The sequence below is a fragment of the Homo sapiens genome, chromosome 9 (assembly GCF_000001405.40).
Source record: "Homo sapiens chromosome 9, GRCh38.p14 Primary Assembly".
NCBI classification, from domain to species: domain Eukaryota; kingdom Metazoa; phylum Chordata; class Mammalia; order Primates; family Hominidae; genus Homo; species Homo sapiens.
Genome location: NC_000009.12, coordinates 110422074 through 110438572, shown reverse-complemented (window position 1 = coordinate 110438572; position 16499 = coordinate 110422074). Strand labels below are relative to the sequence as shown.

At 38.1% G+C, this 16499-nt stretch overlaps 1 protein-coding gene across 1 annotated transcript in view; it reads left to right on the top strand.

Moving 5' to 3' along the window:
- Positions 1 to 16499, top strand: part of SVEP1 (sushi, von Willebrand factor type A, EGF and pentraxin domain containing 1) — a 214494-nt gene that overhangs the window by 141169 nt on the left and 56826 nt on the right. Inside the window, exons 28-36 of the mRNA NM_153366.4 lie at positions 2069 to 2193; positions 3209 to 3332; positions 4067 to 4237; positions 5938 to 6111; positions 6539 to 6658; positions 8123 to 8299; positions 8569 to 8653; positions 9239 to 9430; positions 10815 to 10982. Of these exons, the coding sequence (NP_699197.3) occupies positions 2069 to 2193; positions 3209 to 3332; positions 4067 to 4237; positions 5938 to 6111; positions 6539 to 6658; positions 8123 to 8299; positions 8569 to 8653; positions 9239 to 9430; positions 10815 to 10982 (1336 nt within the window). The remainder of the gene's footprint in view (positions 1 to 2068; positions 2194 to 3208; positions 3333 to 4066; positions 4238 to 5937; positions 6112 to 6538; positions 6659 to 8122; positions 8300 to 8568; positions 8654 to 9238; positions 9431 to 10814; positions 10983 to 16499) is intronic.

Here is a 16499-nt window from a genome sequence, read left to right as displayed (position 1 = left end):
AGGGGCCGTTTAATTAATGAAGCAAATTATGCTTTGTTGTCCATTCATGTGTTAAAATAGCATAGCTAGACCAGGCGTGGTAGCTCACATCTGTAATCCCAGTACTTTGGGAGGCTGAGGTGGCTGGATCACTTGAGACCAGGAGTTGGAGACCAGCCTGATCAACATGCGTGGTGAGGGTGGGCGAAACCCCATCTCTCCTAAAAATACAAAAATTAGCCGGATATGGTGGTGCATACCTGTAATCCCAGCTATCTATTTGGGAGGCTGAGGCGTGAGAATCACCTGAATCTGGGAGGTAGAGGTTGCATTGAGCTGAGATCGCACCACTGCACTCTAGCCTGGGTGAAGGAGTAAGACTCTGTCTCAAAAAAAAAAAAAAAAAAAAAAAAAAATAGCATAACTACTAAAACTCATGAAATGAGAACGCGTTCAAGATGGTCTCACAACACCTTCAACAATATTCAAACATTCTGTATAGTATGATACTGAGTTATGTGTTTTAAAATACCTCACACATACATACACATACACTAAAACAAAATAAAAACTGGAAAGAAATACAAAAAACTATTAAATAATTATTTCTAGGTAAGAGGAGTTCTTTATAATTTATTTTAAAAATTTTCTTCTGTGCATGTATTAACTTTAAAATTATTAATACAATTTAAAAACACGTAGATTGGGAAATCATGAAGGAGGGATCTTTGGACATAGATTGACCAACAAGGGAGATCAAATTGAAAGAGTAGTTGACTTTGGGGACTTGAGGGAAGGGTGAGAAGTGGGTGAGGGATAAAAGACTACACATTGGGTACAGTTTACACAGCTCAGGTGATGGGTGCATCAAAATCTCAGAAATCACCACTAAAGAAGTTATCCATGTAACCCAAAACCACCCATTCCCCAAAAACTATTGAAATAAAAAAAAAAGAGTAGTTAAAGGAAGAAAGTCACAGGGTAGAATCTTGGGATCACTTCTAAGAGGCAGGCAGAGAAGGGAGACTGAGAATGAGCAGAAAGGTTCAAAGAAAACCAGGAGAGAATGCTCTGATAGAAATCAAGCGTAGTGTAATCAAGTCAGGCTCCTGGCAGGAAACAGGTAGCATCACTAAAGTGAGTTTAACGAAGGGCTGTTTTCAAAGGTGTGAGCATGGTTAAGAAGACCAAAATATGACAGTAAAACACATATGACTAGCAACAACAGATGGTTGTAAGGGATGGGCCTGAAATGACAAGGGTTAGGCATTGTTGCCAGAATTTAGGAACCTGTAGTGCTGGAGAGAATCCTCTGATCTCTTCAGAAATAGAAAAAGCCACTCCTAGTTGGTTGCCTGGCAGGAAGGGATACAGGAGTTTCAAGTTCTCTCTCATCCCTTTTTCTTATCTCATGCTGGCTCTTCATTGGCCAGAAACAAAGAGAAGACGGGGCAAGGAAGCTGGGTGATGCAGCTCACGGGGACAACCTTTGGGACACAAAGCTGAGTGGAGAAGGGTGGAGGGCAGTTCTGGCAGTGCAGACACAGACTGTCCAGCACACCCAGAAAGGCAAGTTGAATAGGATGAAATGCTTAACAGAAACAGCTGATACAGAGAAGTTACAGAGATGAATACTGAAATTTTTATTGAATTTGGCAATTACGAGACTCCTGGCAACTTTAGAAAGTTCTCTGGATTTGGTGATAGAAATTATATCATTGTAGCTTAAGGAATAAGAAAGATAAAGAGCAGTCACTTCCATGGAGGGTGATTTTCTACAAGAAAGTAAGCAAAATAACACCTAATTTGTCAACATAAAATATTATATGCATATATATGTATTGAATACAGTTTTTGTAGTTACAGGTTTATAAATCAACATTCTAAATCCTGTCTATTTTTAAGTTGCTATATAAAACATTGAATTTGTTCTTATTGATAAAACCTGCAGTAAATTTACAGAATTTTGCTTTTCAGTAATTTTCTTTCATTTATTTGTATCAGTCGTGCTTTCATTAAATTTGGATTTTAGGAATAACAGACCATCAGGCCAGTTTTCCTCCTTTTCTTTCTCTTTCTCTCTCCTTAGGTGGTGGTGCGTTAGTTCTGGGGCAAGAGCAAGACAAAAAAGGAGAGGGATTCAGCCCAGCTGAGTCTTTTGTGGGCTCCATAAGCCAGCTCAACCTCTGGGACTATGTCCTGTCTCCACAGCAGGTCAATTCCATTTTCAGTGTATGACAGTAATGAGATGCAAAGGTACAAACCTAGTAAAAATGTGAACAGCCTAATGATGACATAACTTATTGTAAGCTCTTGGTTATCAGAATTTATCACCAGTATCATTTGATGCTGTGGTTATAGATGAAGTTAGGCAGAAGTTACAGTAATTTTCAGTGAACACCCTTTTTAGTTTCTTGGTGATATTCTTAAATTTTATTGGAAAACATTATTTTAGATTTTGCAAAATAATGTTCTCCAATAAAATTTAAGAATATCACCAAAGAAGCAGGAGAAAATCATAAAGAATAATGCTTCAAATCCCTCTGACTGAAGATGCAGAAATTTAAGGCTGGCACGAGATCATCCATAGAGAGCAACATACGACCTAGTGGCTAAAACCAGCCTAGAGTCAAACAGCTGGGGTTCAAATCCCAGTCTTACCCCAAACTCACTGTGATGATTTTGAACATGTTATTCCATCTCACTGAGTTTCAGTTTTCTTATCTATAAAAGATAAATAGAACTACATAGCAGAGTTTTGACAAGATTGAACAAAATACTACATATACATTTGTGGTATTATTTGGCCCATAGTAAAGGCTTAATAAATGTTTGCTCTTATTACTACAGAGGCTGAGCCTCTAAGAATCTCTAAGCCTCAGCTTCCTCAATTCTGTGTCAGAGGTCAAAGACATAGAATGAAGAAGGGGAGAGCCTCTACAACCCCTTAACAAACCACATGGCTTTACATAGGGAATTCTAGGTGTAGGATTCCAAAATTTCAGGCAACAACGAGTCTAGTGGGAGAAGTAGCTGGGAGAGGGAATGATAGAGCTGGGAGAGAGGGAAACAGAAGAGAATCTCCTGCTGCCCCTGAAATCATACCTGCTTCCCTCCACCCCCATCTCTAAAAAATCTGTGAATGTTTTCAATAGGACTAAATTAATGTGTAATAACTCCATCTTAATGGAACAAGTAAGGCTTATCTAAAGTGTTATTAAACTTTCAGGTGAAGTCACTGGCTACCTCCTGCCCAGAGGAACTCAGTAAAGGAAACGTGTTAGCATGGCCTGATTTCTTGTCAGGAATTGTGGGGAAAGTGAAGATCGATTCTAAGAGCATATTTTGTTCTGGTGAGAATTTCCTTCTTTCATAGACTCCACTATCTCTTGACCACCCTGGGACTGTCTAGCAAAAGAAGACAGTTCAGAATTCTCTATCGGTCCAATCGTATGTGACTGTCAATCTACTTTTTGTAACTAGTAATTCATATTTACCCTATTTTCATCCAAAGGATTTGTTTTTTTAATGCAAAAATATATTCTGTATAACAAAATATAATTAGGAAATTTGGATGAAAGTAAAATAATATCAGGAAAATTAGAGAAGAAATGAGGTTATTTTTTTCAAGGCCCACCGACATACTATGCACCTGTTTGAGATGGGGTACTCTTTTGGTTCTATAATTTGTAGAAGGTATCTAGGAACAGGTAGCACAGGGAGAAAAGCGATGGATGTTGCAATCTGCACACTAAAACTGAATGATCAAAACTGTATCATAAAATCAAATTTATTTAAATGAGTTTCTTAGACTGTCCTAGAATTTATGGCTTTTGATAACTTACAAGAACATTTCATTGACATTCCTAAAATATTTTGAAAGAGGGAGAGTTATTGACTTAAATGCTTTTTTTTTTTTTTTTTTTTAGTGATTTTGCTTGCCAGTGATCTGGTTACATGTTAACTTGTTTTCACATCAGTAAGGTGGCTCTCAAATGCTGATACAGAATACAGTTTGAAATCATTGACTTGGTGATGCTACCACTATGCCGCTGACAAGCTCTGCACCTGTGTTCTTTGCCCTCAGATTGCCCACGCTTAGGAGGGTCAGTGCCTCATCTGAGAACTGCATCTGAAGATTTAAAGCCAGGTTCCAAAGTCAATCTGTTCTGTGATCCAGGCTTCCAGCTGGTCGGGAACCCTGTGCAGTACTGTCTGAATCAAGGACAGTGGACACAACCACTTCCTCACTGTGAACGTGAGCTGCCTTTCTTGAAGCCATTTCAGTGACTTTTGAAAAATATTGAAAACATAACTCTTTTCAGGAATGCTAGACAAAGAGTGAATACTTCACAGTAGCAAATATACCAAATATTCATTGAACCTTTTCTTTGTTTAATGAACTGTGCTGGGCATCATGAAGGAGATGGGTGATTAGGATCCAGAGGGACCATTTGTGCATGCATCCAAGGTGATGCAAGGAACTGAAAGGGTTGGAAAGACACACCCTACAGGTAGAGGCCCAGAGATAGATGGGTCATTGCTGGAGGGGGAAACAGGGAGAGCCATCTTCAGTCGAGTGCATTCATTCATTCATTTATTCAGCAACTTTTAAAGTACCTATTATGTGCTAGGCACTGATCTAGGTCCTGGAGATGCAGCAGTTCAGGGGAAAAAGCTCCTATTCTTATGTAGTTTACATTCTAATAGGAGAGACAGAAAAATAAGTAAATATAATATTTATTTATAGTAAATAATAAAGGTAAGGGCTAGAAGCAAGAGCTGTAAAGAAAAATAAAAGAGGCTAGGAAAATACAAAGTGTGGCCAGGTGTGGTGGCTCACATTTGTAATCCCAGCACTTTGGGAGGCCAAGACGGGCGGATCGCTTGAGCCCAAGAGTTCAAGACCAGCCTAGGCACATGATGAAACCCTATCTCCACAAAAAATACAAAAATTGGCCAGGCGTAGTGGTGTGTGCCAGTAATTCCAGCTACTCAGTAGGCTGAAATGGGAGGATCGCTGAGCCCAGGAGGCAGGCAGAGGTTGCAGTGAATTGAGATTGCACCACTGCACTCCAGCTTAGGTGACAGAACTAGACCCTATCTTAAAAAAAAAAAAAAAAAAAAAGTAATACAAAATGAGGGTTAGGTGGAGGCTAGACTGCTATTTTAGATAAGCACCTGTTACCACCTGATATATTCACCGTTTTTTTTTTTTTTTTTTTTTTTGGCCTATCTACCCCACTAGATAATAAGCTCCATAAGGCAGGGATTTTGTTTGTTTGGCTCACTGCTGTAACTCCAGCACCTAGAACAGTGTCTATGTGTTAGGCCATTTTGCATTGCTATAAAGAAATACCTGAGACTAGGTAATGTATAAAGAAAGGAGATTTAATTGGCTCACAGTTCTGCCGGCTGTACAGGAAGCATGGTGCTGGCACCTGCTCAGCTTCTGGGGAGGCCTCAAGGAGATTTTACTCATGGCAGAAGGCATCAAGAGTAGGCACATCACATGACAGAAGCAGGAGCAAGAGAGACAGTGGAGGGAGAGGTGCCACACACTTAACCAGATCTCACGAGAACTCACTCACCATTGCAAGGACAGCACCAAGCCATGAGGGATCTGCCCCTATGACCCAAACACCTCCCACAAGACCCCAATTCCAACATTGGGGATCACATTTCAACATGAGATTTGGGCAGGGACAAATATCCAAACTTTATCAGCGTCTAGTGGGTAAATGTTTTTTGAATAAATGAATTGCATGCCTACTGTGAGCCAGGCAATGTGCTAGACGCTGAGGGTTCAGGCTGCTGCTATCCCTAGGACACCCTCAGTCTGATGTTTGCATTCAGTAAAAATGTCATGCTTAACTGAACTGCTAGTTTAATACAAATAAAGTGTTCTTGGAGTATTTTGCTCTTAATGTCGTTGTCTTCTTCCTGGTCACCTTACAGGCATTAGCTGTGGGGTGCCACCTCCTTTGGAGAATGGCTTCCATTCAGCCGATGACTTCTATGCTGGCAGCACAGTAACCTACCAGTGCAACAATGGCTACTATCTATTGGGTGACTCAAGGATGTTCTGTACAGATAATGGGAGCTGGAACGGCGTTTCACCATCCTGCCTTGGTGAGATAAATGTTGGCAACTACTATATGAGATTATTCTAGCTCTGTAGATGACAGTCATCCCAAATTCCTGAGGTTCTTGAGGCATTGCTTTGTTAACTTTATCTCATCCCAGTAAGCTCTGGCCAAGCCATAGTGACAAAGCAGCTGTATGTAGAGGTGCCAGAAATGTTTTAAATTTTTATCAGGCTCCATATTAAGACTATATTTATATATCCCTGTCTTATACTTGCCCACCTATAAACTAGGGAAATAATAGCTTTTATTGTATATCTGCAATGTGATTATGACTGTTATATTTAAATTCTATACAAATATATGAAGTGTTGTGCATTACGTGATATGTAATGATTTAAAAGTAAAAACAGATGTTTGATACATACGGAAAAGGAATCAACTTTAATATTTATAAGCTGTCTTCATTTTAGATGTCGATGAGTGTGCAGTTGGATCAGATTGTAGTGAGCATGCTTCTTGCCTGAACGTAGATGGATCCTACATATGTTCATGTGTCCCACCGTACACAGGAGATGGGAAAAACTGTGCAGGTAACCAATATATGTAGAACTAAAAGTTCCTAATTCCATTCTTTTATTCAAGTACATATTTTAAGTGTATGTTATTTCTAAGTGAGATAATTGTTTCAACTTCAAAGGGCATACAGGTAGGCAGATAAGATAAAGTTCTTACAAAAGACACATCAGTAACAACTAAAAGTGCTTTAAAGTAGCATTGTGCCTCCCCCAACTTCCCAATTTCTCAGAAACAAAACTGACAGCCAACTATGATTCTACAATGTTGAAACGTCTACATAGTACAAGAATAATAGAGTGGATATAGAAATATAATCAGTGACATCCCTGCCTCAATCAGAGCAAGGAAGATGCTTTATCACATCTTCACTATCAATATCTTTCCTCTGCCTCAGTCACATAAAATTATATCATTGAAAAAAAATAGACATCTTGCCTCCCCAAGACATCTTGCACTACAATATTTTGAAATAGCTTTGATAATACCAGATCATCTCTCAACCCGTTGTTGTATTTCTTCATTTGTTGTGAAGAGTAACTCCTGGAAAACAATAAGATGTCTATATGAACACACCATATAAACAGTTCTTTATTTTAGTTATTTCATGTAATATTATATCAGGCACATTTTTGGTGTCACAAAATAGTTTGAGAGCAGGATTTTAATTCCTGTTTTATAATTCACTTTATGGATTTTCCATAAGTAACTTTTCTCTGTATGTTAATATTAGGTGATATTCACTATGGAAAACAGTTTAATAAGCATCTTTGGACATACATCTTTATGCTTACCTCTGGCTGTTTTCCTCAAAATCAGCTCATAATTGCATTTACTTTAAGAATTTGTTTAAACTCCTTGACTTATATAGCTCAAATGGCCTTTGAAAAGATTGATGCAATATATCCTCCCGTTTTGAGAATTCAAGTATTATATTCACTTTTCTTGCTCAACACTGGCCCAAACCTTGCTTTAGCTTTTTCTCCTTCCTATTATAGCAGTGGAGACCGACCCTGAATCTGTAGATAGGGAGAGCCCAGAGCCCATACTCTATTTGGGAAGGGAGGCTGGAAACTTTCCTGAATCTGCTTTATTCAGCCTTTCCATCAGCCTGACACCAAGTCAGTTGCTCTGAAAAACTGGGTATGAAGAGGGAACAGATGAAAGAGGCTAATGCCCTTCTAAGCCACTCTCTAGCACCACCACTACTTTCCCAATGAGCGCCTACCTTTGCAGCCAGAAAAATTATGTATATTGTTGTTAGGAATTGCTGTTTCAAACTATTATTGCTTAAATGCTTATTAAATGTATGTTCTGGTCTAATGTCCAATGTGTCTCTGGGCCCTCATGCATTTCCCTTCACGAGGTTTTCTCTTGCGATTTTAACAGGTTTCTTAACTATAGTGGAATTCTTTTGCTGTGAGACTTTGCATGGTTGTGTGAAAGCCACTTATTATTCCACCAAAACTGTCTGTTTCTAGAACCTATAAAATGTAAGGCTCCAGGAAATCCGGAAAATGGCCACTCCTCAGGTGAGATTTATACAGTAGGTGCCGAAGTCACATTTTCGTGTCAGGAAGGATACCAGTTGATGGGAGTAACCAAAATCACATGTTTGGAGTCTGGAGAATGGAATCATCTAATACCATATTGTAAAGGTATGTTTAGTAAATTTACCACGTTTCTTATGTTTGGCAATCCTAGAAAGGTAAGGCGTAGACATATGAAGTGTTATGTTGTATCAATGTTCTTTGTATTTGAACTGAGGTATTAGGCTCATGTTTAAACATGACCCCACACACACACACCAAAAAAAAAAAAAAAGAAAACAAACAAACAAAAAAAGATCTTGAGCTGCCCCTTGAAATTTCAAAGATTTTTGCACACAGTCTCAAAAAAGTCACGTGTTTGTTTTTCCTTTGTTAAGCTGTTTCATGTGGTAAACCGGCTATTCCAGAAAATGGTTGCATTGAGGAGTTAGCATTTACTTTTGGCAGCAAAGTGACATATAGGTAAGTATCTAAGATTAAAACTATATTGTAGAAGATGTTGATGGCATACTGGTAGTGATATAACACTGAAAGAAAGGGGGTGGGAAAATAATTGCAGAGGACATTTTTGAATTAATATGTAATTAATCGAATGATACATAGTGTGAACAAATCTTAATCCAATAATTTAATGGTAGTTATATCTAGAATCCTTAAATCCCCTGACCAATAATCTATCATTACCTCCAGTGCCCCCTTGAGGCACCCTGAGAGTGGATGCTCCTAGCTAATGAATACTCTTGATGTCTCAGAAACAGACTAGACCACACCACTCTCAAGCCAAGGATTCCCTGTTTGTAGTTACTAATCCATGACACAAACTGAAGGCAAGCCAAATTCTTAAATCTATCCTACTTCCCTATGGGGAAGATATACAGTATTCAATCTTGAAAAAAAAAATTAATTTAAAAGCATTATTTCAGTAGGAAAAAAAATCAACTTTTCCAATATGTATAAATTCTTAATATTTTTAGAGGTTTTTGGCACAGATAACGGCATGCAAAATAAAGCAAATTATATCCTGTAATTTTCCTCTATCTTCTTTAGGTGTAATAAAGGATATACTCTGGCCGGTGATAAAGAATCATCCTGTCTTGCTAACAGTTCTTGGAGTCATTCCCCTCCTGTGTGTGAACCAGTGAAGTGTTCTAGTCCGGAAAATATAAATAATGGAAAATATATTTTGAGTGGGCTTACCTACCTTTCTACTGCATCATATTCATGCGATACAGGATACAGGTAACATTTGTAGACACCAACCAAGCTTTCTACAATACTGTGTTACTCGCTCCCTATTTTATTTTAATTTTTTTGAGACATGGTCTCACTGTGACACTCAGGCTAGAGTGCAGTGGCGCAATCTCAGCTCACTGCAATCTCTGCCTCCCAGGCTCAAGCGATCCTCCCACTTCAGCCTCCTGAGTGCAGGGACTACAGGTGTGCGTCACTATGCCCAGCTAATTTTTGTATTTTGTACAGATGTGGGTTTCGCCATTTTGTCCAGACTAGTCTCGAACTCTTGAGCTCAAGCAATCCACCTGCCTCAACCTCCCAAAGTGCTGGAATTACAGGTGTGAGCCACCGTGCCTGTATTCTTTACTCAATAGGTTTCATTTGTACGTGACTGGCTGACTCTAAAAACAAATTTATAAATATGAGGATGTTCTCAAATCTGTATGCTTCCCGAGGCCTACCTAGCTAATGGTAAATGCCCAAGAAAATATTCTATCTAACTATGACTCTGAGAGTCCTAGTTCAATTGCTGTAAGCATTCAGACTTTAAACATGAAAGCAAAAATAGTTTATGAAGCATAAACAGAATACCCGATAAATGCTTTTGTGATGGATTTCTTTATAAACAGCTTACCAAACGTACTCAACATTGCATGGAATGTTATGAAAAAGCATGTCAAGATAAGGGGCTAGGTTCTTAACACTGTAGGAGATTAATGGTGTGTGTGTGTGTGTGTGTGTGTGTGTGTTTAAACAGAGGGGACAGTGGAGAAAGTCAGACTGTGATCAGAAACATGATCAACAGGATCTGAAGTGGAACAGATCGAGTGAAGAGAAAGTGGAGTGAATTAAAGCATGCTATCAGAATCAAGTTGAGAAGAAAGGCAGATAAGCCATGGCATAGGGATGTGAGGTTTAAGTCAAAGGAAGACCAGAGGTCAGAGTCAGGGGCAGCATGGTTCAAATGCCCAGGCTCATGGCCTGGACAGTTCCCTTTGACCTTAGTTGCCCTGATTTCCTGGCTACTTAGGTGAGTGTCTTTCTTCCTGCTGGATTCTAACCAGTCTAATGAACCCCTTCTCATCCAAGTAATCTGCTCTTCACAGGTCTGGAGTGCCTTACACCACTGCCCATAAGCAGATTCAATATTTTACTATGCACCAAGTGATTACTGTTGTTATATTGTTTTCACCCATTCATTGTTTCAAATGGTGTATAGCTTGTTTAGATTTCTCTTGCTTTCATATAAAGCAATCTAATATGAAGAAATGCTATTTTTGTGTACTCAAATTCCTCAAATGTCCCTTATTTTCTCCAGAGTTCTTCCTGTTTTATCTCCATAGCAGCAAATCCATAGCCAATGAAAGAGTAACATCATTCTTTCCCGCAGCTTACAGGGCCCTTCCATTATTGAATGCACGGCTTCTGGCATCTGGGACAGAGCGCCACCTGCCTGTCACCTCGTCTTCTGTGGAGAACCACCTGCCATCAAAGATGCTGTCATTACGGGGAATAACTTCACTTTCAGGAACACCGTCACTTACACTTGCAAAGAAGGGTGAGTAGGGCCTGTGAAGGAAAGGATCATTGAGAGCCAAGGAAGTGGATGCTCCTGACTGCAGAGATGGGCTCCATTGGACACGAAATTTAATTTCCTGGCAGCCAAAGACAAAGAGAGCCTTATGCTTTTATTTCCTACCTGCAGAGACGGAGTATATTCTCCTGTGGAAATAATATTTTCCTGGAATTTGAGTAGTATATCAAATTAGACCCTCAATAATGGACATTGGGCAATGCAGTGAAAAAATATCTTCATATTATACTTTTTTTTTTTTTTTTTTTTTTTGAGACAGAGTCTTGCTCTATCACCTTGCCCAGGCTGGAGTGCATTGGTATGAACTTGGCTTACTGCAATCTCCACCTCCCAGGTGCAAGCAATTCTCATGCCTCAGCCTCCCAAGTAGCTGGGACTACAGGCGCCTGCCACCACACCCGGCTACTTTTTGTATTTTTAGTAGAGACAGGGTTTCACCATGTTGCCCAGGCTAGTCTTGAACTCCTGACCTCAGGTGATCCACTTGCCTCAGCCTGAGATTACAGACATGAGCCACTGCACCCAGCCTTATATTGTACTACTAAGATGCAAAAAGTACCTTTAAGTGAGCGTTCGTGTATTTATATTCTGCAAAACCAAAGGCAAGACTTAAGTCATAACATAAAGATGACATATCTACAGGGAGGAAAAAAGATAATAAAGTTCAGGTTTTTACATTTCTAAGGATCTTATTTAATTCAGAGATCACCTCTGGAAACCAGGTAACAAATTACGAAGGGCTTTCAGACTCATTGTCTCATTTGATCTTAGCAAAAGCCCTGTGAGGGACAGTGAAGGGAAAGACTCCCTTTGGGATGATCAGTTTAGGGTCTCAATGCAACCAATAAAGTATGGAGGGGTGGCTAAATCTCAGGTCATCTGAGTTTCATTTCATTGCAATCATTGTTTTTTCTCTATGCATCCTCAATAAATATTTTCATCAATAGGGCTTTCACACTCCAGATTTACTACAGTTGTTCTTCACAAGCTGACACAGCAGAAAAGTTGCCATTTTCTGGATTTGTATCTCAACTCTGTTGTTCACTAACTGTGGGGCCTTAGGGAAATAGTGTGACCGCTCTGCCTTGATGGTCCTCCTGCATAAAATGAGTTCATACTTATGGATATTGTGAGAAATAAAATGATATAATACATGGCCTAACCAGAAAAAAAAAATCAATGAACCCAACAAACTTAGCCATTATTATGATGATTGGTGCAGTTTCTGTATTTTCATGGAAGTTGGATTTTACTTCACAGGAGTAGAAAACCATTCCACTAATACATGACTGCCAGCAGGTGGCAACAATATTTTCTTGCGAAAAGATAATAAGAGTTAAAGACTTGCATAAATAACTGAAGCCCAAATCTTAACATCTTCTTAAGTGAACAAGGAATCTTTAATATTAAAATGTCAATGCAGGAATGGCTTTTGATTGTCCCATCTATCCCCTGTGGACTCACTCACATAAGAAACTACCCCTAATGAACTGATAGGACTATTTAAAATTAGTCATTTAAATGTTTGTGAAATCTTAGCAAATATACATGTTCCAAACAATATCTAGATATTGACTATTGCTGGGGCTTTTTCTGATTTAAAAAGTAATGCATGATCACCATATACAACTAGAAAACACAAAATCTATATTTAAAAGTCATCCATGATTTTATTACCCAAAGACAAATATTGGTAATATTTTACTTCATTTCTTCCTAGAATTTTGTCTTTGCATGTATATTTGAATATTAAAGATGATGCTACATGTACAGATTTATACCTTTTCCTCTTCACAAATCATACACATCCTCACAAATTGTTCACTTAGAAGATATAGTAAGATGAGTTTTATGTCTGCCTAACGTTTATCTAAAAGTGATTTAAAGAATCAATTAAGACAATTATGAAAACGATTAAAAAATCTATTCATTTGAAGAGGATTTTTTATTTAGAGGAATTCTATGTGAATCATCTCATGTACTTCCTTCTACAAAGATGGAGTTTGGCAGAAGAAGTATTATTCCCACTTTATAGCTAAGACATGAAGGTGTTGGGCCACATTCTCTTACAGGCCCATTTGTTCTATGCAAGATCATAGTCTGTGGAAACTTTTTCTGTCATTGAAAAGATTGAATCAGATCTGCCCATCTAAATTATGTAATTGTTAAAGGGTATGAGACCATTTTTATAAAAGTGTGTTATATATATGAAGTATGATGTAAATATGGCTTTATTGTTTTCTGTATCATTATTAGCATATAAAGTGATGACATTTCAATAATATATGGGGAAGCTATCTGAGCTAGCTAATCAAATTAATATGAAGTACACATAGTCCCAAATCACTACCACGTGTAGTCTTTTTCTGAAAGGAAAAAAAAATAACTGTTAGGAGACAGTTTTATTTTTCTGAAATTAAAACTCTTGATGAGAAGAAAAATGATGCCCCTTTAATATGCATTTTGCCCTTTTAGGGGTGCTCTGAAAGTGGCCAGACTGGAAGGAAAGCCTCTCTCTTGTTCATTTCTTCTGGCCAAATTTTTAACAAAACATTTGAAATAAATAGAAATGCAAAAATTAGGCTGGACGTGGTGGCTCACGCCTGTAATCCCAACACTTTGGGAGGCCAAGGCAGGTGGATCACTTGAGGTCAGGAGTTCAAGACCAGCCTGACCAACATGGTGAAACCCTGTCTCCACTAGAAAGACAAAATTAGCTGGGTGTGGTGGTGCATGCCTATAATCCCAGCTACTCGGGAGGCTGAGGCGGGAGACTTGCTTGAACCTCAGAGGCGGAGGTTGCAGTGAGCTGAGATCGCGCCATTGCACTCCAGCCTAGGCAACAAGAGCGAAACTCTGTCTAAAAACAAAACAAAACAAAAATGCCAAAAAATAAAATTCTCTCTATTTAAAATCACCCATGTATCCATTGCTGAAATAAAAGTGCATGTTAAATTCTTGTCATCATTACCTTAGATCTCTATTTATAAAAGAAACACAATATTACAGATATAATTAGAAGCCATTCTCATCACTCATCTATGCTCCTCAAAGTAACAAACATGGATATTTGTCTTTATTAAATACATATTCCCCCATAAACAAATATCCTATTAATTTATATATTTTAATTTTTGTATCTGTTGCTTCATATTCTAAGCATCCTTTTGAAGCTTTGATTTTTCACTTAACCTTATTTTTTTTACATTTATCCCTCTCAATACATGTAAATCAACTGAATTTATTTTCACTGATAGACAGTATTTTCTTGTCAGAACGAGCTATCTCTAAATTACCATCTTACTGGTAGAGGGTTAATTTATTTACTTCGTTTGAATACAAGTGCTGAAGTAAATATTCTTGCATGTTTCCTGGCACACATGTAAAAGAACATCTCTGACCTAGACACGAAGAGTTGGAATTGTCCAGTCATGGAAGATGCACATTTTTAACTTTGCAAGATAGTACCAAATGCTCCCAGGAGTGACCATACCAGTTAACACTCTAAACAATAATATGTGAGATAGCTTCCCTAGCTCCACAACTTTGCCTACAATAGTGTTTATCACAGTTGATTCTTCTTTCCAATTTCATCATTGTTTAAGGTTTTCCCATTGTTTCTTCCCAGAAATTACTTTAAGACTATAAACACTTCTCAAATTGTAGTTTAACTGGGTATACAACCTTCCAAAGGGTTATTGAAAGTGCATATTTCTTATTCTAGGGATGAATTGTTTGTGTCTCTTTCCCATTTTGTTTTTCATATTGACTTATATTTTCAGGAAACCAATCCCTTTTTTATTACATGAGTTGCAAAGATATTCTGCTTATCTGTGGCTTCGTTTTTACTCTATGGTGCCTTTTGTTATAGAATTTTTTATTTTAATATACCCATATTTATCAGTTGTTTCCTTTAGAGTCCTTTAGGGATTTTTTTTGTCAGGCTTAAGACATTTTTCCATATCCTAAGATCATACTTAATGTTTCTGCCTTCTTCCTGAACAACTTGAAGACTTTAGAAAGCATTAACTTCTGTCAGCACTCCCATCTTAAATGTCTTATCACTATGTACCTTTTTACTTCCCTTTTATCTTACAGCTTTCCAAATCAGTCATTTTTTAACTGCAGTCACTGCTTATGTATATTTATTTACATGTCTATTAATTTTTTCACCACTATTTCTTTTTGCATCACACTCCTTCCATTTGAGTTTCATGTTTCTACTTCCTGAAGATGTTCTTTGCATCTTTTCCAGCAAGAGTCATGAATTACACAGTCTTGGTCAGAAACTAATAGTATTTTGCCCTTGCTCTTGAATTGTAGTTTAGCTGAATATACAAATCTACATTGACAATTTTTCTTTTTTTTTTCTTTTTTTTTTTTTTTACTTTATTTTTTTATTTTTTTATTTTTTTTTTATTATTATTATTTTTTATTATACTCTAAGTTTTAGGGTACACGTGCACATTGTGCAGGTTAGTTACATATGTATACATGTGCCATGCTGGTGCGCTGCACCCACTAATGTGTCATCTAGCATTAGGTATATCTCCCAATGCTATCCCTCCCCGCTCCCCCGACCCCACCACAGTCCCCAGAGTGTGATATTCCCCTTCCTGTGTCCATGTGATCTCATTGTTCAATTCCCACCTATGAGTGAGAATATGCGGTGTTTGGTTTTTTGTTCTTGCGATAGTTTACTGAGAATGATGGTTTCCAATTTCATCCATGTCCCTACAAAGGATATGAACTCATCATTTTTTATGGCTGCATAGTATTCCATGGTGTATATGTGCCACATTTTCTTAATCCAGTCTATCATTGTTGGACATTTGGATTGGTTCCAAGTCTTTGCTATTGTGAATAGTGCCGCTATAAACATACGTGTGCATGTGTCTTTATAGCAGCATGATTTATAGTCCTTTGGGTATATACCCAGTAATGGGATGGCTGGGTCAAATGGTATTTCTAGTTCTAGATCCCTGAGGAATCGCCACACTGACTTCCACAATGGTTGAACTAGTTTACAGTCCCACCAACAGTGTAAAAGTGTTCCTGTTTCTCCACATCCTCTCCAGCACCTGTTGTTTCCTGACTTTTTAATGATTGCCATTCTAACTGGTGTGAGATGATATCTCATAGTGGTTTTGATTTGCATTTCTCTGATGGCCAGTGATGATGAGCATTTCTTCATGTGTTTTTTGGCTGCATAAATGTCTTCTTTTGAGAAGTGTCTGTTCATGTCCTTCGCCCACTTTTTGATGGGGTTGTTTGTTTTTTTCTTGTAAATTTGTTTGAGTTCATTGTAGATTCTGGATATTAGCCCTTTGTCAGATGAGTAGGTTGCGAAAATTTTCTCCCATGTTGTAGGTTGCCTGTTCACTCTGATGGTAGTTTCTTTTGCTGTGCAGAAGCTCTTTAGTTTAATTAGATCCCATTTGTCAATTTTGGCTTTTGTTGCCATTGCTTTTGGTGTTTTGG